Source organism: Homo sapiens, chromosome 5, assembly GCF_000001405.40.
Source record: "Homo sapiens chromosome 5, GRCh38.p14 Primary Assembly".
In the NCBI taxonomy this organism is placed as follows: Eukaryota; Metazoa; Chordata; class Mammalia; order Primates; family Hominidae; genus Homo; species Homo sapiens.
In genome coordinates this window covers 15,770,828-15,791,859 of record NC_000005.10, presented here as the reverse complement: position 1 = coordinate 15,791,859, position 21,032 = coordinate 15,770,828, and the positions used below count along the sequence as shown (strand labels likewise).

Below are 21,032 nucleotides of genomic sequence, written 5' to 3'. Positions count from 1 at the left end.
AATATATACTACTAAGGCTCCTTTGCTCTCTGGCTCCTATTTGGAACTGAGTAACGGGCAGCCCAGCAGAAACAGGCTGGGAAGGAGAAGAGAGAAGTCAGGGTATTTACTATCCAGCATCTCCCAAGTCAGCCATTCCTCTGCCACACAAAGTCTTCTCCCCAGACAGTGACCGCCCTCTCCCAGTTCTGGCTAGTGCCCCAGGAGTATCTCTCCTTTTGTCCTGTCAGGCCCAGGAGCTACCCACCAGGGAACTTCCCATCTCTTTTAGGGTCCTTCTTAACTCTGTCTTCAACTTTGTAAAAGTCCCTGGTAAACTCTTCCCAATTACCCTGTTTAAATGTTCTATACATGCCCATCATTTCTGGACCCTAGGTGGCACCCGAAGCATGAAATATGTAATATTTCCTTCTTGGATACATGATTACACATACACCCCATGTAGCTGCCGTACAGTGGACATGAAACAGTTTTTATTTGAGTTATCAAAACCAAGTTCTTCAGGGAGAGAAGATAATGCATTAAGACAACAGAAAGTTTGAAACAAAGAACCACAGAATTAAACGTGTTAGGTTCTGTCATAGGTTTATTTGAGATCCTGATTGCAGTTTAGAATACTAAGTTTACCTACCATGTATAGAATACCTACTAAGTAAGAGCTTGACACTGTGCTCAGGTTTAACATAAGTCCTCTGTAATCCACAGGAGAATCTTGCAAAGCAGGTATTATACCCAATTTAGGGTGGAGTACAATAAGGCTTAGATACATGCAATAACCCCCCCCCCCCTTTTACACAACTCACTGACCTAGCAAGGAGGCTAGAACAGGTGTACCTGGCTACACAGCCCATACTCTGTCTACCCTACCAGGCCACCCCATTCAGAAGGGCACTGGTACTCACGGACTTCCCATGACCAAAAGGACTTTAAGAAGCTTGACTACAAGCCTGTTTAATTTTATTTAATCTTATCTTCCAGGCAGATGTCTTCAGAGAACCATTCTCATAGAAAGCTCATTAACATCTTGAGTCCATGACTCACATTTGGAAAATGCAGTGTTTCCCTTCTGTGTCCCCATTTCCTGACTTTTGTGTCTTAAAGACAAGACCGATGCCCATCATTCCACCTGGGTTCAGTGAATAAATGTCAGGGAAGCTGCTCTAAACATCAGGTGCATTACAGATTCTCAACTACATTGTTTTTAAAAGGATGTACTATATTTGTAAGAGAAAGAGGAATCTTCATAACAGGAAGTTTTCTTTAGCACCTAATATTTGGCCAATGACTAGGTTCGCAGTCCTCTGACAAAATGATTTGCTGAGAAAAATGCTGGCATGGGTGGCTTTAATAATAAATGGTGGTCAGAATAATGGCTCACATTTACTTAGCAGGAAGAATTCGCCAGGCACTTCACTAAGCTCTTTACCTGGGTTACCTCGTTAAAGCTCACGACAACTCTACTCTCTAATTTTACAGTTGCAAAACTGAGTCACAAAGAGGTTGAACAAGGGACCAACATCAGACAAGCAAAGCGGAGGAAGCATCACTGAACTCCAGGTGGTCAGACTCCAGATTCTGTGCTCAGAGGAAAGCTTCCATCTACCTAAGAGACACCAGCATCCTTATAACTAGATAGACTCTAGTATTTTCTTTAAAAATCATGTACAGCAATCTCAGCTTACTGCAAGGATAGATTGACTGTAACAACATAAAATTTAGTAGGGTTAAATTTTGAAATCAGGTTGTATACTTAAAAATACCTAGCTTCATGAGTTTGGGGAGAATTATAATTTAGCATCAGTGTGGAAATGATTTTGGAGGTTTTAGTGGAAGGTAAACTAAATAGGAACAAGCAGTGTTGGAAGATCTGGCCACGGGGGCCTATGCAGCATCAGGGCAAATTCAAGGTCCAGAATCTGCCCCTCACTAATTCACCCAGGCAGGTCACACGCATTTTATTGTAAGCATCGTGCTTTAGAAGGCCTTCGTTGAGAGGTGAGTCATCAGCCCAGGGAAGCAATTCATAGCCTGGTGTGATGATCTTCCTACAGCACCCCTGGTCCACTCTGCCTCCCACACTATCTGCCCCAGAGCTGGCCACAGCCATAGGAACAGAGTCAGGGAACTGGCTCCAAATTGAAGTGATGGGAAGAAGATTGGAACCAAAGGAGTGGGTTACACTGGGGTCTACAGAGAACTGGAGAGCCTTGCAGGATGGGGAAAGTGCAAGCCTACAGGAGGGTGCAAAGCTGTGATCTCAAGGTAGAGTCAGGAGTTCACAAATGATGGAATCAGAGCACAAACAGCCTGAACACCAGCCTGTGTGGTCGTGGGTGACTGCCTTGAACGCTGCCCTGTGTCTGTGCTTTGCCTTTATGCTCAGCAGACATGGGGTGGAGAAGAGGATGGGGTTGCCTCAAAGGGCAGGTGGGCTGTGCAGGTGGAAAAAGCCTGAGGTTAGACACGGTAATAGTCTTAAACTATCTGAAAGTCTGTTATTCGGAAGGACCTATCAAACACCCTGGCTGGAAAGACTGCAGTGAGCATATCTTCACGTAACTGCTGGTCTGGCAGAGGGTGAGACATAAAAATGACTATATTATTAAAAACATTATTCCAAACTCTGATGGCTGCTAACAACAACAAAAAAAAAGATATGAGGTCTTGTAGAGCACTGGCAGAGATGTCACCTTTTTAAAGAGGTGCCATTGGCTGGGCATGGTGGCTCATTCTTGTAATCCCAGCACTTTGGGAGGCCAAGGTGGGTGGTTCACGAGGTCAGGAGATAGAGACAACCCTGGCCAACACCGTGAAATCCCGCCTCTATTAAAAATACAAAAAATTAGCTGGGCGCGGTGGCGGGCACCTGTAGTCCCAGATACTCTGGAGGCTGAGGCAGGAGAATGGCATGAACCCGGGAGGCGGAGCTTGCAGTGAGCCGAGATCACACCACTGTACTCCAGCTGGGCGACAGAGCAAGACTCCTTCAAAAAAAAAAAAAAAAATACAAAACTTAGCTGGGTGTGGTGGTGCATGCCTGTAGTCCCAGCTACTTGGGAGGCTGAGGCAGGAGAATCATTTGAAGCCAGGAGGCAGAGTTTGCAGTGAGCCAAGATCTGTTGCCAGTCTGGTGACAGAGCGAGACTCCGTCAAAGAAAAAAAAAAAGAGGTGCCCTTGAAGCCAGGAGCTGAAGAATGTTGGAGTGAGTGACGTACAGAATGGGGAGAGTGATGTTTCCAGCAAAGGGCATAGGACCTACAGAAGCTGGAAGAAGGTTAAGGTTCAAGGAGGTGGAGGCAGGCTGAGACCAAATCTAATAAGCCCTTATAGGCCCTGACACAAACTTTGGATTTATATCTCCCAGCAAAATTTGAGATGCTTCTTTTCTCTTTCCCAATTCCCTTTTCTTCCGTTGTTTTCTCTCCCATGTTTTATTTTTTAGCAATGCCACATCATTCATGGGCACTGCAGATCCACTTCTGTATTCAGCAAAAATTGAGAGGTTACAATTTTATGTCAAATTCCAGGCTAGGCTCTATGGGTTAAAACATAAACCGGCTAAGTGGTGGGTTGAATAGTGCTCCCCCAAAATTCATGTCCACCCAGAGCCTCAGGATGCGACCTTCTTTGGAAACAGAATCTTTGCAGATATAATTAGTTAGCTTGAGATGAGGACATACTCCATTGCGTTGGGCCCTCCATCCAATAAAAGGTGTTCTAAGAAGAAGAGGAGAGGACACAGAGACACACCGGGAAGAAGGCCATGTGCAGACAGAGACAGAGATTGGAGTAAGGGTCTGCAAGTCAAGGAACGCCATAAATTGCCAGGAGCCACCAGAAGCCAGGAAGCAGCAGAGATCTCCTCTAGAGCATTCAAAGGGAGCACAGCACTGTTGACATTTTTAGTTCAGACCTCCAGCCTCTAGAACTGTGAGAAATACATTTCTATCATGGTAAGTCACCCAGTTGCTGGTAATATGTTGTGACAGCCCTAGGAAATTAAGACAGGATGCATTTAATGAAGACAGTCACATAAATAGAAACGACCACATGTTAAATACTACAAACCAGGGCATGTCCAAGGCATTATAGAGTTTTCAGAACATCCCTGAAATTATTTCTTTCCTCTCTAAATTTAATTTCTTTCCTTGCAGTAATTCCTCAGGAACCCATCTCTTAAATGTAATTTTAGATGGAGGAAGATGGAAAGAGTAGGTTTCTCCATAATTTAAAGCTAACAACAGAGTACCTCTCTATTTGACTGAATTCAGGCTCTCTGTATTTCTGACCACAATCAAACTTCTTGTGATATTAGACTTTGTTTTGATCTTACCTTCTCCTTTCTCAGAACTAGATTCACTCCAATAGTATCCCTGAATCCTCCTCTGTCATGGCTCTGCTGACCTCCCTGAAATCTCCTCCTGGCCCATCTCTGCACGGCTTGCCTTCATCTTCTTTAAAGCCCTGATCAAGGCATACCTCCTTAAAAGACCTTTCCAGGCAGCTCTGTTTGAAATTAATTCCCCTTCACGTCTATATTTTTAATACTTTCACTTCAGCATGTGCAGTTTGTCACATATCATATATTACAAGCTCTTCAATGCCGACTGATTTTACTTACTTTGTTAATTTTCTAGGGCTGCCATAACAAATTATATCGAGCTTGGTGCCTTAAAAACAACAGAAATGTACTCTCTCACAGTTTCCGGGGGCCGGAAGTCTGGAGTCAAGGTGGGGCGGCACTCCCTGGGAAGGCTCTAGGGAAGAATCCATCCTGGCCTCTTCCAGCTGCTGGTGGCCCCAGCTGTTCCTTGATTTGTGGCTGCATCACTCTGATCTCTGCCTCTGTCTTCACATAGATTTCTCTTCCATGTGTTTCTCCTCTGTGTGGGTCTCATAAGGACACACATCACTGGATTTAGGGCCCACTTGGATAATCCAAGATGATCTCATTTTGAGATCCTTTATTTAATTTCATCTGTAAATAATCTTTTTGCAAATCAGGTCACAGTCATGGATTCTGGTGATGAGACTATGGACATGACTTTGGAAGGAAGAGGCGTCGTTCACTCATTACACCCATCTTTGCATCCACCCGTACCTGTAAGTCCATTACGTATTATACATACTAAGTAATTAATTTTTTTATTAAATTTAATCAAATAATACCTTTGAGCACAGGTTTAAAAGTATCTACAAACTATTCTAATTCACTTTTTACTAACTATATCAAACTCATGTTAAACCACAATCCCTCCCTGGTGTACTATTACATTTCTGCCAATTTACTTTATTCTACATTGAATGAGCCTCCCAGAAAAGAACAGGCAGTTGGCACTGCAAGTATATCAAGGACTGACAGGGTTTTGAATACTCTCAGGACATTTCTGCCAGGAAACAGGCAATGAAAGAAGTAGAAAACATCAAAAAATATAATGAACAATGATACTCTAAAATTTCTTAAGTGAAATCCAGGCAGTGGTAGACCTAGGTTGAATTCCAGTTCTACCTACTGGTTTCCCAATCATGGCAAGTTCTATATTTCACTTTTATTTTGTTCTGTGGAGGAATGAAAGAAGGGAGGGAGGGAGGGAAGGAGGAAACACCCCCCTCACCAACGCTCTCTAATGCCATCTAATTTTAATTTCAAAACAGTACAATGATTACTGAGAATTCACCCACCGGTAGAAACGCCTATCCTGGAGTGTGGAACTTGTGATGACCCAATATATTTAGTAGCACTTGCACTAGCAGAAAAAATGATTTAGAAAATTAGGTCACCAGCAGAAGCCATTTTTGTGTGTTGCTTTTTTCTGCTCAAGGACTCACTTTATGATGACAGTCTAGCCCAATTAGATAAATGGAGCCATTCCAATTTGAATACTGTTCATAAAGTATTTTCTGTTTATTATGAAAATTAAGAAGTGCCATTGCTTTACAGATGCCACTCAGAGCCACATGCTGCTGCAGTCAAAGCCGGGGATTTCACTGTGTTGCAAAGTTATAGCAGACAACAGGCACAATGCGTGCCAGATGCAACTGAACTGCGAGGGGGCTTAAAAGGATTTGATGGAAAATGTCCTAACTGCTTTGTCCAAGAATTATCACTGGGACAGTAGGCTCTTTGATACGTTCATGCAACCAGCTGCTAGTTCATCTCCGTTTCTAATGGGGTAATCCACACTGCTTTTCATCTTATTTACATCACACATGTGACTTTTAATATTAAGAGAATTCAAGCATCCATGTATGGGGCTAATTTTTTTCCTTTAATTGGGGATGGAGGAGGGAGGTGATTGGCTTACATGCTTGAAAGCACAGAAAGGGCGAAGGCACTATTCTCCTACTATTGCCCTCTTCTTCCGTGTATAAAACACTTCAAAGTATCTTGTCTGAGTTTATAACCACCAACTGGGTGCAAAGGTGACCCAGTTGTTGCTGAAAGCCTGTCCTATATTGTGAGATGTCCACAGTGGGGTGTGTGTGACTGTGTGTAGGTGTGCACACGTGAATGTGTATCATGGTCACATTAACCAAGTGCCCCTGAAACCTCTACAAGAGAAAATAGGTCTTCTGAAGACCTGCTGCAGGAGATCACTCCCAGCTTCACTCGCTTCCTGTGTTGCCTCGACAGCCGTTTGGTCAGAGCGATGCAGAGCACGCAATGTATGTATACATGTGGCAATGGGAAGTTATGAAGGCCAAGCAGTGATTCTTTTTAACCTTGTAATCATAAGCTGTTTTTCTGAAATTCTGATAACTGCACAGAGTCTCGTGCTAGTTAGACAGAAGTTTGGCTCATCATGCCCTAGGCTGCAGTATAGACCTGATTCATGATAGCTACACCCAACCCTCAGATGAATGGAGACACAAAAGAAAAGGAATACCTTTAAAAATGATGGCAGTGACATATGAACACATACACACACGTAGAATCTTGTGCTAGTGAAATAGAAGCTAATTTTGTGTTTGTGCGTGTGTGTGCTAGGTTGTTATTGCACTGCTATAAAGAAATATCTGAGACTGGGTCATTTATAAAGAAGAGGTTTAATTGGCTCATGGTTCTGCAGGCTGTACAAGCATGGTGCCAGCATCTGCTCGGCTTCTAGGAGGCCTCAGGGAGCTTTTACACACAGCAGAAGGTGAAGCAGGATCTGGCATGTTACATGGTGAGAGCAGGAGCAGGGGGGTGGGGAGATGCCACACACTTTTAAGCAATGGGATCTCTTGAGAACTCAACCCCTGTCTCATGAAGTGACAGCATCAAGCCATGAGGGATCCCCGCCCCCCGACCCACCTCCCACCAGGCCTCATCTCTAACACTGGGGATTACATTTCAACGTGAGATTTGGGCAGGACAAATATCCAAACCATATCAATATTCTTACATATTCTCTAAATTATTAATTTCAACATAATACATCTGTCAAAAATGGAAGTTCAGCAAATGTGCTTCTTTATAAATCCAATTTCAGTAAACATCTCCATGTAATATGGGCCCAAATCCTTCACTTAAAAATGCTACAAACCTAACAGCATATATTTAACGTCATAATAACAAAAATTCAAACCTGAAGAGGACCTACAGGGCTAATTTTTTTTTGTCTAATGGGGAATCTGATACTCACAGAGTTGCCTGACTTGCCCCAGGTGACCAACAAGAGTTGTGATAGCCCTTCCTCTCATGTTCATGAAGCACTACACTACTATACTCTTTAAGATAATCTTGACCAAAGCAATGGTAATAACTACTGTGAGAGACAGAGAATGTGGCCACCCAGAACTACTGCAACATAGGCTGCCAGGGAAACAGTCACTGCCACATCACCAAGCTCACTCATTGGGGCCACCATGCTAGACCTGAGTGCTCACCTGCTGATAGGAAACTCTCAGAAGTCATTCATCATGCCCCACATCCATGTTTACCTGGCCCATTGCCAAAAGTGCAAGTTTCCTGTGAGATCTGTGAGAGCCCTCATTCCCATTCCCATACATCTACATCCTGATCCAAAACTCCATTCTTTTCCTCTCTAAGCCTTCCCATTATGCTTTCTGGTGCTCTCAATCAATAATATCAATAATCCAGCACCCATCCTTACTTCCCTAACTATTTCTCTGAATGCTCCCTTCACCTCTACACCTTAACTGAGACCTGTCCTCTGAGCACACTCATTCCTCTACAGCCCTCTCCAGGAGCAATGTATTTTCTTGGGTATCCCCTGAACCTCAGGGCTTGGGGTTTGATAGGTACCCTCCTTGGTTTTCTTGCTACTCCTTCTGACCTCCTATTCTCCTTGTTTTTGCAGTGTCTTACTCCTTTGAGGCTCTGATGCACCATTTATATCACCCTCTCTCCTCCTCATTGCTGTCATGTTGGTTATCTCATTCATGGGTGGCTTACAATGATCATTCTCTAACATGTCAATATCCAGTGTCCTGACCTTGATGTCACCTTCGACAGCCCTTTTTTCCACTCTGCCTTAGGCATCTCGTCTCAGTGTCACACCCAGGACCTTCTCATTTCCAGGAACTGCACCATGCAGGTCCCTGCCTCCCCTCCTAGCTGCCCAGTGCACTTGCCGGAAATTATGACAGTGCCATGGTTCCCATTCTTCATTGCTGCTGACATTCTCAGGTCTTCACCCTGCCACTTTCTCACTATTTCTCCACCACCCGTGTTCAGTTCCTCTTTTTCCAACCTACCTTCCACGCCCACCATCACAGTCGTTCTCATGCAAAAATCTTCAACTTCGTTGCTTCTCTCTTCTGCTGTGGGTTCACCTGTCAAACCCCCAAATTTCATAGCTCCAACTTCCTACCCGCTCTCTGCTTGCACATTGGCCAGTTGGTGTTGCTGGAGAAAATCACACAGCTGTTTGGTGTCACTTTATATTTATTATTGCAACTGTCAAATAAAGTCTCAAATGGCCTGGCCATTCTACTAAATAAATTTAGGAAAATTCATTTCCTAGATTTACTTTTCCACTATTTGTGCCCTTTCTCCTCAAACATCTCCCACCCTTTGGCCACCCCCACAATCCCAACCTCGGCTATTAAAATGGAGAAAATATTCCTCAACTTTTCACAAGAAAATGCCTTCACTTGGGCTGTGGATTTCATCCCTCCTTACTGTCTCAAAAAGGTTGCTCCTTAGATCTTTCTCTGTCACTCCTGCGTTATCAATAGCTCCACTTACACTCTTCCTTCCTGTCACCAAGAAACACCATCTTTAAGCTCCTCACTTAAGAAAACAACAAACATATGAAAAAAGGCTCATCATCACTGGTCATTAGAGAAGTGCAAATCAAAACCACAATGAGATACCATCTCACACCAGTTAGAATGGCGATTGTTAAAAAGTCAGGAAACGAGATGCTGGAGAGGATGTGGAGAAATAGGAACAATTTTACACTGTTGGTGGGAGTGTAAATTAATTCAACCATTGTGGAAGACACTGTGGCAATTCCTCAAGGATCTGGAACTAGAAATACCATTTGGCCCAGCAATCTCATTACTGGGTATATACCCAAAGGATTATAAATCATTCTACTCTAAAGACACATGCACACACATGTTTATTGCAGCACTATTCACAATAGCAAAGACTTGGAAAAAACCAAATGCCTATCAATGTTAGACTTGATAAAGAAAATGTGGCACATACACACCATGGAATACTATGCAGCCATAAAAAATAGGTTCATGTCCTTTGCAGGGACATGGATGAAGCTGGAAACCCTCATTCTCAGCAAACTAACAAAGGAGCAGAAAACCAAACACTGCATGTTTTCACTAATAAGTGGGAGTTTAACAAAGAGAACATACGGGCACAGGAAGGGGAACATCATACACCAGGGGCCTGTCAGTGGGTGGGTGGCAAGGGGAGGAATAGCATTACGAGAAATACCTAATGTAGATGACGGGTTGATAGGTGCAGCAAACCACCATGGCACATGTATATCTATGTAAAAAACCTGCACGTTCTGCACATGTATCCCAGAACTTAAAGTATATATTTTTTAAAAAAGTTGAAAAGGTCTTCTCTCAACTCCTCAGCTCTCTTCAACATCTGCCCCAGTTTTACACTCTCCTTTATAGCAATACTTATCAAGAGAGGTCTAGCTATGCATATTGCTTCCACTTCCTGGTTTCTCATTTACATTTAAAGTACTTTTTATTAAAAAAATCAAACTATGGTGCAAATACTTTAAAAGCTTGAATGCTCCCTTTTCTCCCCAGAGGCAGCCACTTGAAACTCTTCTAAAGAAATCTCCAGATTCACCTCTAAAGAACATGCTCAGAAAGTACTTCTCTATTTCTCAATATCAGGCACTGACACTGGCTTCTTACTACTGAATATACTATTTTACTCTTATACTACACACTCAACACACACACACACGCGCGCGCACACACACACACACACTCACACAATTTCTCCTTTCCCCATCCTCCCAATGTACTTAGACCTTTTTTTCTTGGGGGTGGGGATGGTTAAACTAACATCCAATGGCATGCAAGTCTTACTCATAAATAAAACTGTGGTGTACCATGACTGCTTCTTACTTTTTGAACGTTTTAAAAATTTCTCTCTCGTTATCACTTGCTTCAATTTTCCAATTATTTTTCTATTTATCCTTTAGAGCAGTAAAACCTCCCTTAACATATTCAAGCATGACAAGTAAACTCTAAGTTCCAATTTCTATTGGACAAATCCATCCTCATGTCCTCTGTCTTCTTCCTCAAACGGGACCATTGTGGTACCGGGAAGAGAGATGATAGCAGAGGGCCTTGGGAATCACTGTCACAACTGCATCCACAGCATATCTTAGAAATAGCGACTGGCCAAGAAGTTTAAGGCAGTGATAATGAGATCACAAACTTTACAATTAGAATATCAAGATAAATGGAATCAGAGTTCTCCTCCTCTTTAGAGCCTTCTGCACCAGAAAGAACAGAATTTTCCTGGCTGTGTGGTGTGGCACAGCAAAGGCAAACCCAGCTTTTGGTGGTGGCCAAATATCTGACTCAATGCCTGCTCTGGTTTGTTTATTTGCATGCTAACTCTCAGGTCACACATTTCTGTACTTAATTCTTCAGAATAGTAAAACTGCATTAATTTAGGTTGAGTAAAGGGTAAAGTTTTTGAAAAGGCTGAATTTAAACATCATCTTAATTTTCTGTAGAGAATTCCAACCATTCCCAGAGGTTCCCAGAACCTTTACTCCACTTGCTTTGACAAGCACACAGGACTCCCTGAGCTCATATCTTAGAAGTGCCTGTTGACTAAACAATATGGCTGTGTCAAGCCACTAAAATCCATTCCTAATTCTTAATAGCCTTGAAATTGGTTTATGGGTCAAATTTACCTAACAAATTGTTTTCTGTTTTTTCCCACCTCCCAAAATACAGTCAGTAATCTTTGGGCAATTCCAATTCAAATTATGACATATTCTGACTTGGTGGAGTTTGATCAGCTTGCAAAGTAAAAAAATATATATGTATAGTGGGGTTTTTTGGTTTGCTTTTCTTTTTTCTGGGTGCTACCTGGGGTTCCTTCCAGTAACACAAATATGGTTTCCTTCAGTTCACTAAATGTAAACAAGCTGCCATAGGCAACTTTTAGCCCTTTACTTCAAATGAATGATTATATACTGGATATTTACCACTAATCTTGCTCTTTTCTTAGTGAAAAAAATATATAGACACAGCCGTGCAAACTGTGATCCAGTTACTGCCCTTCCCCTTCAGCTCCCTTTGTAGACTCAGACTTCCTTTGCCCCTCCATGTTTCAAAGGAGGACTGGCCAAAGAGAAATCACTTAACATATTCAATACCCACATGATGTGGCAATTAGTTTTCAAATCCATTTTTGACAAACACAAGTCGGACATCTGGAATGAGGTAAAGGTGATTAGGTTTGGAGAGAGCAGAGTGATAAACGGAAATTTCAGAAATCTTTGCTGAAAAACAAGTATTCCAAGAGTAAGTGGTTCTATCTTCAAAATGAAATTGCTTTTTGAAATAAAGTGCTCATTGAGTTCTGCCACAGAATAGATTTTCCATGACGACTTTTAGGCCAAAGCTATAAATCAAAAACTTACTATATTGCCATTAATTTGCTGACTGTATCTAAAAGACTTTAAACTGCCTAAAAATATGCTCAAAATTATTTTAATCCATGTAAAATTTTATCAAAGTGATATGAAGGGTTTTTTAATGGGCCACGGCTGATTTTCCTTAGAACTCGGAAAGGCATGGAAACCAATGACTGTGAACCGAACCACAACTCTGAAAAGTCACCTCTTGGAGACAAGATAATAACTGCTGCTAAGTCACTCTTTTCCATTTCTTTTTTTGATAGCTTTTTAAAAAATTTCATTTATGTACTCTAGTTGTACATATTTTGGGGTACATGTGATATTTCAATACATGTATACAATATGTAATGATCAAATTAGGGTAACTGGAATAGTCATTACTTCAAACATTTTCTTTATCTTTGGAACATTACAATTCTTATTCTAGCTACCTTGAAATATATAATAAATTATATTTAACTATAAATTTTCTACTGTCCTATTAAGTACTAGAACTTTTTCCTTCTATCTAACTATTTTTGTGCTCCTTAACTAACTTACCTTCATCCCTCCTTCCTCACCTCCCTTCCCAGCCTCTGGTAACCACCATTCTGAAACTCTCCAACTCCATGAGATCCACTTTTTTTAAAGCCACTCTTTTACATGTTTAATGGCATGGCTTGTCTACTCTGCTCAAGATGAAATACCCATCCTAAGCGTATATGTCATCTACTGTAATGACAATTATCAGTAAATAAGGTTTTTATTCACTAGCTAAGAGAAAAGCAACAAAGTTGACTAAAGATAATTTCTTACAGTGAATCTCCTATCACATAAATGTAGTAAGAAACCACGTTTTTTATCTTGAGAGAAGGTGCTCTGCTATTAAACACATTATCCCTAGCAAGATTATCCTTTCATGATCAATTTCATGATCATTTTTTATTTCCAGCTAATGTATCTTTGGTTTTATTTGGCTTCTGGAAGTATGGCTTTGTTAAGCCATTGCAACTGGATAAGAAAGCTAGCGGGAGCATCGGCAACTACCTGTGTTCTATGAAGGGGGATTCTCTCTCCCTTTAAAGATCCTTCTTGGACTGATTTTTGAGGATGTGATGAAATGAGCTGCTTGGTAGCATGAGAAAAAGTGGAAAAGAAAAACGATGGAGATGAGAAAGAGTGGTGAATCAATGCCTTCTCACTTAGGACCTTGACCACAGGTGAATAACTGGATTTCTTTTAGGGGAAAAGATCAGGTCAGTGGTCCTCAAACCATATTCTTAACTAATTAGTCTAGAGGGTGCCTAGGCAACAGTATTTGTTTTCAAAGCTCTCCAGGTTTTTATTTAATTGTGCACCCAGCGTTGAGAACTATGGTACCACAAATGAAGAGAACGAAGGCCCCAAGCCAGAGATGTTGAGGAGCAGGAAATTTGAGATAGAAAGGATGGAGTCCATTCTCTCAGTAAAATAAGAGATGGAGTCATATCTTTAGATAGGAACAAAGTTGGGGATTTAAAGAAAGTGAAAAATATTTGAAAGGGGGAGTTCAAAATGCAACAGGACTTTAAGTAGAAACAGCCTTTGATGATACCTTATTATAGAGAAAGTATACATTTTCTGAGCATCTTAGATACCCACGAATTTACTTTATACCATGATGTCTTCCCATTAATGAGGTATAAAATAGAGGAAATGTGCTTAAGTTATTTGTTGATAGCTCTTATGAATTCTGACTAATTTTGAATATAGGTAACCAAAATACATACCTTTTTCCAAAATACATATTTTGGGAAATAAACAAATTTGATAATATAAAAATATTCTCTTGCAGGTTTATTATGTTTAGCTGATTGCTGGCGTTCATGTGGAGAGTGGGACTGTGTGATTTGTTTTCCACTTTCCTCAATATGGCCAGAGAGAAGATAAATTAGTATTGTCCTAGATCACATGTAATAGTAGTGCTTTTTGCTCAAATGAGTACCATTCTAATCTAAGAAAAAAGTTATTCAACCTTGGAACTGGAATTTACTTTTTTTTTTTTTTTTTTTTTTTTTTACCAGAATAGGGGTTTGCAAACAATACGTAGCCAATTTCCTTAAAAGGGAAATTCTTGTGTGTCTCCTAGGACCCAAAATTTCTATGCACTGAGCTTTTAAATTTTGATTCAACTTCTCTTTCACTGTTCAAAACTGCGCCATGTGGATAATATTTTATAAGTCTGACAATCTCATAACAGGAAGATTTGAACATAGCAGCTGCTTACCATTTCATGCTAATTAAATGTGATTTCCATCATTGTCAATTTCACTCTTTTGCCTTCCAGTCACTTAACTACAACTAAGAGAAAGACACAGGTAGATGATAGGGAATACGTTATCCATATATTACCAATTGGTTAGTTTCAAGCATAAACACTTTTTGGAGTTAAGATTCAAATGCTACATTATTTGATATAATAAAGCTTGATATCCAGGTGTATTTAATTTTGAGCTAGTGGAGGAGTCATATTGTAGAGTGAAAACAATGCTGGATCTAGAGGTCCAAGGTGGGGGTTTGCCCCTAGTTCCACTACTAACAATGTGTGACTTTCAGTAAGTCCTTAACTTTTCCATTTCTCAGTTTCTTTATATGTAAAATGGAAATGAAAACATCCTCTCTCCCTAGGTTGTTAATAAGATGCATGGAATAATGAATGTGAAATATATTTTAACATGAATTATCTTCAATTTAATTCATCTATTTTGGAAATGCCTTATGTGTGCATATTGAGCTTCCTGAAAACAAAGCACAATCATATACAGAGTGATTAAGAAGAAGATATTAAGATACATATGTAATCACAGTGTTATATTAAGATATATATGTAATCAGGTATACATATGTTAAACATTAAAACTCCCAATTGATGGCTAACATTTTATTTAAGTTCTATAATTATTATCTCCATAAATGTTACCATTATCCATTGTTATGTATAAACAATGAACATAAGAATATTTAAGGTAAAACTTAGGAATATGCTTCTGAAAAAAGCTAGCCCACTTAAGGTTCTTTTCTCTCTCTAGTGTTGATGTTAGTGCCATGAAGTTATAAGAAACATATGCGAGAAATTATACCAAAAAAAGTGCGAATTTTTTCCTGCCTCACCATCACATATGTTGAGCCCCAGACACAATTATCCTTTTAGAATGTATTACAGATGCAGTGCTTAGAAAATGGGTGCAAGATGTTTGTTCAGATATAAACTTGCAGGCCAATGCTAGGGGAAGCTGGCAAAAGCCCTTATCAAGCAACATTTCTTGTGGGTTGCCAACCCAGATCATGTTTTTTTTCCTTAAGAGTTTTGGCAGCTTCCTTCCATCTCTTCAGATTGCATTTATAATTGGTTGTTACCATAGAAACATGAACTTTAAATTATAGTATTCTTTATTAACTAGTTGTAAAATGGAGGTGTGCCCTGAGCAAAATAGGATTTGGGAGGGTAACAGCAAATAGGTTAAAACTTACTATACTCATCTATATGATTGCTAATTCTTGCTAATCTGCATGCAAGAGTGGTACGTTCACACTTTATTAATCCGAATGTTGGCCGGCATCTACCCTGATTTCTTTCTGTTATGTTTTACTTAACAAAGGGCTCTGGATTCAGATTTTTTATTTATTTACTGCCTAGTTATATTATTATTATCACTATTATTTTTAAAAATAAGAACAAAACTTTGGTTCCCATTTTGCATTAATGAAACTCATGACATGTTGCCGCTATCTGTTCTTAATCTTGAGAATTAATAAAAACTGAAATCTGTCTTAAGCCTTACTAGTTAAAAACGTAGTCTCTTCAAGTAGAAAAACACATAATCAGATTATAGTTGTACCTGTAGGTCCAGAAGCTCCCCTGTGTTCAAAGCAAAGATTCACAATGAATGGAGTGCAGGAGAATAATCAGGATTTTTTGACAACTGCAATGACGTTGCCTTGATTAACCTTATCAACATGTAAAAAGACTGCTATCCTCGTTTTTAATTATCAAAAATATGTGCAGCAGACATTCCTGGCCCATATTCCATTCTCATGCCTCATTGAAATTCTGAATTAGCTGAAACAATAATGTGTAATCACTGGTTTTGGTGAAATCTGTAGTTTTTCCTACATGATTATGTAAATCACTGACATCTGATACCCCAAATCCATTCCTAATTCCCATTCCATTCCATCCCTTAGAAAATGAAGAGCTAATGCATAATAAATACTAAAGATATGGGCAGGTATCAAAAGTATGGTCTGTGTTTCATGGGGTGGGATGAAGCTTGGGGAGAAATTAATGAAATGGCATATTCCCCACCAGCTTCCCATGATGTGTGGTGATGGTATTTGTGTGTGTGTGTGTGTGTATATGGTGGGGTAGGAGTAGACAGTGACACTAACTTCCAAAAACATGACAGAACTGTCAAAAATGTATGACATAAAAATACAGTAATAAATTACATTAGGTAGTATTTTCCAGCAAATAACAAAAAACCCAACTCTAAATGTTTTTCTGCTATTCAACTAATAATGATCCTTTTATTACTACATCTTCCCTATCTTTCTTGCTCAATGCTTGTGTTTTGGTTGCACATCCTTTGCACTGTTCAATGCACACATTTCCTATGCTGCTTAGCTGTTTGATGTTTACAACATGGTAAACTGTGAAATGTTTTTACAGTTTCAATTATTTAAAAATCATGTCAGAAATGTTTTCTGTTTTCTACCTGGTGATCTGTCAAGGGCTATGCCTTTCCAACAGTCTGTATCCATTTAATGCTCAGGCACTAAGCTCTGTTCACAGACTTATCTACTTTTCTCACCTACTTTGGAATTTCTAAACAAGACAGAGAAACTGAACAGCAGTTCCTGGTGTCTCAGGGGTCAAGAGAAACAACCTTAGTATCTGGGATAGTTCAGGACCACGGACAACAACCAAAGATGCACCCACTTTCACCTCCAAATTCAAGAGTGAGAATCAGAAAAGGCAAGGAAAAACTGTCGCTCTAACTACTTTGAAATTAGTTTGTGCCATTATTAAACTATTATTGTTTTAATTTTAAGCTTATATCAAGATTCTTCTTCAATCAGGTTAATATGGTTTCATTAAAGTGGCACACCCTTAGCAAAACAATGGACTGACCAATTTATCAGGACAGGACAGAAATCTGGAGTCCATATTATGGTGGGAATATGCCACTCTCAAAGGTGGGATTCTCAAAGATGGGAACAGATTCTGAGGACCAAGGCCATAGCCAGGAAAACAGAAACTCATAGGGAGGCAGTACAATCTAAAACATAAAACCATATCTACATCAATATATATGGTAGCCCCCCCACCCTCCACCAAAGATGTCTATGTCTGAATTCCTGAAACTTGGGAATATGCTTCTTCCCCTGGTAAAATGGAACGTGTAGATCAAGTTAAGAGTATTGAGAGGAGAAAGTTATTTTGGATTATCCCGGTAGACCCAATGTAATCACAAAAGTATTTGTTAGAGGGGAGGAAGAGGGTCAGTCAGTAGTAGAAGTTTGAATGACAAGGTGAGAAAAGGATCATAGGAAAGGAATACAGGTAGCCTCTGGAAGCTGAAAAAAAAATCAAAGAAACAGATTCTGCTCTCAAAGCCTCAGGAGGAGAACAGTCCTGCTGACACCTTGATTTAGACTTCTGACCTCCAGATCTGTAAAAAAAGAGGCTTGTGGGGTTTTTTTTTGTCATTAAATTTGTGGTAATTTGCTACAGCAGTAATAAAAAATGTAATAAAATATATGTAAATAGGATCCATGTGCAAAAGAAGGAAAGGGAATCTAAGAACATGGAACCACAGTGAACATTTATGCTCTCCAGATCTTTCCTTTCTTCTATTCATTTGCTTAAGTTGACCGGGGCATCCAGTGAATATATTCTCCTTTCACTCATCCCCCTGTTCCAAGTAGAGTAGTTTACATAGAACCATATCAACCACACACTTCATTTATATGCCCCCTCCCTACGATATTATAAACAGCAGCAATCCAGTATGGAATTCTGTAGATTGCATCTAGGCCACTGATAATTTCTTCCATTATTAAAAAATTCTCTAAGTTTTGGAAAAAAAATTTTTTTGAGACAAGATCTGTCACCCAGGCTGGAGTGCAGTGGCACAGTCACGAATCACTGTAGCCTCAAACTTCTGGGCTCAAGCGATCCTCCCATCTCAGCCTCCCTTGAGTAGCTGGGACCATATGCACACAACACCATGACTAGATACTTAAAAAAAAAAATTTAGTAGAGATGGGGTTTTGCTATGTTGCCCAGGCTGGTCTTGAACTCCTAGGCTAAAGCAACCCTCCTGTCTCGGCCTCCCAAAGTGCTGGGATTAAAGGCATGAGCCACAACACCTGGCCAGGAAAATGTTTTTAAAATAAATTTTTAAAGTGAGGCCCAACTCAGTAAGATTGCTTGGAATTGAATAAGTGTAATGCAAGTAAATTAACTTAAAAAACATTAACTGGGCCTTTCCTTTCTATTTATATGTCAGGCACAGTAGACCTTGAAAAGAAGGGTCACAGCCAGGCTTGTTTGCTCAGGTCAGTGATCCCAGGATTTGGGGACGCCAAGGCAGGAGGATCAGTTGAGCCTCAGAGTTTAAAACAACCAGCCTTGGCAACATAGCAAGACCTTGCCTCTACAAAAGCTTTTAAAAAAAATTAGCCAGGTGTGATGTGCACCTGTGGTTCTAGCTGCTCGGGAGGCTCAGGAGGGAGGATCGCTTGAGCCCAGGAGGTTGAAGCTGAAGTGAGCCACAATCTCAGTACTGCACTCCAGTCTGGGTGACACAGCAAGACTCTGTCTCAAAAAAAAAAACAAAGTCTCACAATTTTCATAGCTCTGAGTCACTATTAAGGTCTTCACAGAATGTAAGAAGAGCTAAAAGACTGTATGTCAAGCTATAGGTAGAAACAAACAATATGGAAATAAAAAGGGATATAATAGAGGATATTTGAGGAGAGTGAGCAGAAGATTAGTGAAAATTAGCTCTTCCCTCCACTAATTCCAATCATTTATTGAGCCTGGCCAGTCACTGTGCTATATAATATATGCCATTTTTTAAAAATTCTTGCAATCACACCATGAAGAGGGTATTATTATTTCCATTTTAATAGACTTAGAGATCTAAGTAACTAGCCCAAGTTGACATAGCTTCTGTGGCTGCACCAGGGGGTCTGACTGTAAAACCTCTGACTCCAAAGCCTTGCTATTTCAATGGTGCCTTTCAGTGATGAGAGTACATAAGGCCTTTTACTTTAACTATTTGTCTTCTATGCCATGGAAAGAGAGGGTTTTGTCTCTTCTCTAGCCAAGAAAGGAGGATTTTTATTGAATTTGGACAATGATTCAGAAATCTTATAAGCTGCCTTCACCTTTCTTGCTGACACATCAAGTATTCCACAGTTCAGTTTCCAGGAACATGAGGGATGCGAGCACCTGTAAACTGTGCCTGACATCTCCCTTAGGTTGAACTACCCTGCACCATTAAGTGGAGCAGAGGAGGAAGTGGATGTTGCTGGTAAGATAGGTGTTTAGCTGTTTAGAGCATGTGTACTTATAATATTCCTGTTGTTTTGGAGCACAGTTGATCCATTATTTGAGGCTTTTAGATCACTTATAGTTACTTTATTAAAAGTCAGTTAATCCTTCTGGGCACGGTGGCTCATGCCTGTAATTCCAGCACTTTGGGAGGCCCAGGCGGGTGGATCACTTGAGGTCAGGAGTTCCAGACCAGCCTGATTAACATGGTGAATCTTCGTCTCTACTAAAAAAAATATAAAAATTAGCCAGGTGTGGTGGCACACGCCTGTAATACCAGCTACTTGAGAGGCTGAAGCAGGAGAATTGCTTGAACCCAGCAGGCGGAAGTTTCAGTGAGCCAAGATCGCACTCCAGCCTGAGCAATAAGAGCGAAACTCTGTCTCAAAAAAAAAAAAAAAAAAAAAATCTGTTAATCCTTTGACCTTCTATTAGTCCAGATAGCTGTGGTTTTGGAACCAGGGAAGGTCTGGTTCAAAGAGGTAGCAAACATTTTTGAATAGTACTATGTCAGACTGTACCTCAGTAATACCTACATTGAGTAGCACCCAGCTTTTTTACAAGCAGAGCTGGCCGGGAATTCAGATTTCCTGATTCCCAGCCAGAGGTTATCCCATTTACAACATTCTGATATCTCTCCCTTTCCCAAGCTTCAATATAAACTCCAAGGTACTGATGATTATATCTCAGATTTCCTATACATATACTTATGGCACCACGGACTTAATAAGTTTGTACTGAATAAAGTGATATCACAAATGAAGTTGTGCTGGATAATATTTTTCTAACTAAAAAGGCAATGAAAACTAGAGTCCCACTAAAAATATTCAGAACTGCGTTCTTCCACTGTTTTGAGCCATTTGATTTCCATTTCAAGGCAGGCAAGGCTACATTTATCAGAGAAGTGAAGAGTGAAAGTGTCAATAAGATGTATGGTGAGGGAAAAGCTAAGAGGGATGAAAAGGTAGAAGCAAATGCTGTGCATTAGAAGGGACTTGAAAGGTACTGAAAAGCTGACTTCCCTTCTCAGGTCCACCAATGACCGACTCTGTGACCTTAGGCTGGTCACATAACTTTTGTCGCAGAGAAGGCTTAACTGCAAAACAGGGAAGAAAGCTAGTTCTAACTCTAACAGGAGGATGGGATGAGCAAAGCGCATTGGAGATGTGGAAATTCCGTTAAAAGGTTTAACTTGCTGAGCTATATAAAAATAAGACTGGAATCTTGTCTTGATATAACCCCAAGTTTGGTAACTCTGCACAAGTTTCCTAATCTAACATCGTGCCTGCCTCATCATGGGTACAAATAATCAAACAGAGGCTGTGTGGTGTAGCGAGAAAGGAAGGGGATT

The 21,032-nt window shown here is 40.2% G+C and overlaps 1 protein-coding gene across 5 annotated transcripts in view, besides 1 other annotated feature; it reads right to left on the bottom strand.

Annotated features, from left to right (window-relative positions):
* FBXL7 (F-box and leucine rich repeat protein 7) overlaps positions 1-21,032 on the bottom strand; it is a 439,614-nt gene that overhangs the window by 147,934 nt on the left and 270,648 nt on the right. The window lies entirely within an intron of this gene.
* Positions 4,350-5,549: an enhancer, noted in NCBI's record as "CDK7 strongly-dependent group 2 enhancer chr5:15786420-15787619 (GRCh37/hg19 assembly coordinates)". NCBI's record gives its function as "activates an origin of replication core promoter dependent on BRD2, BRD4, P300/CBP, MED14 and CDK7 cofactors, with strong dependence on CDK7, by STARR-seq in HCT116 cells {active_cell/tissue: HCT116}" and the evidence as "EXISTENCE:reporter gene assay evidence [ECO:0000049][PMID:35650434]".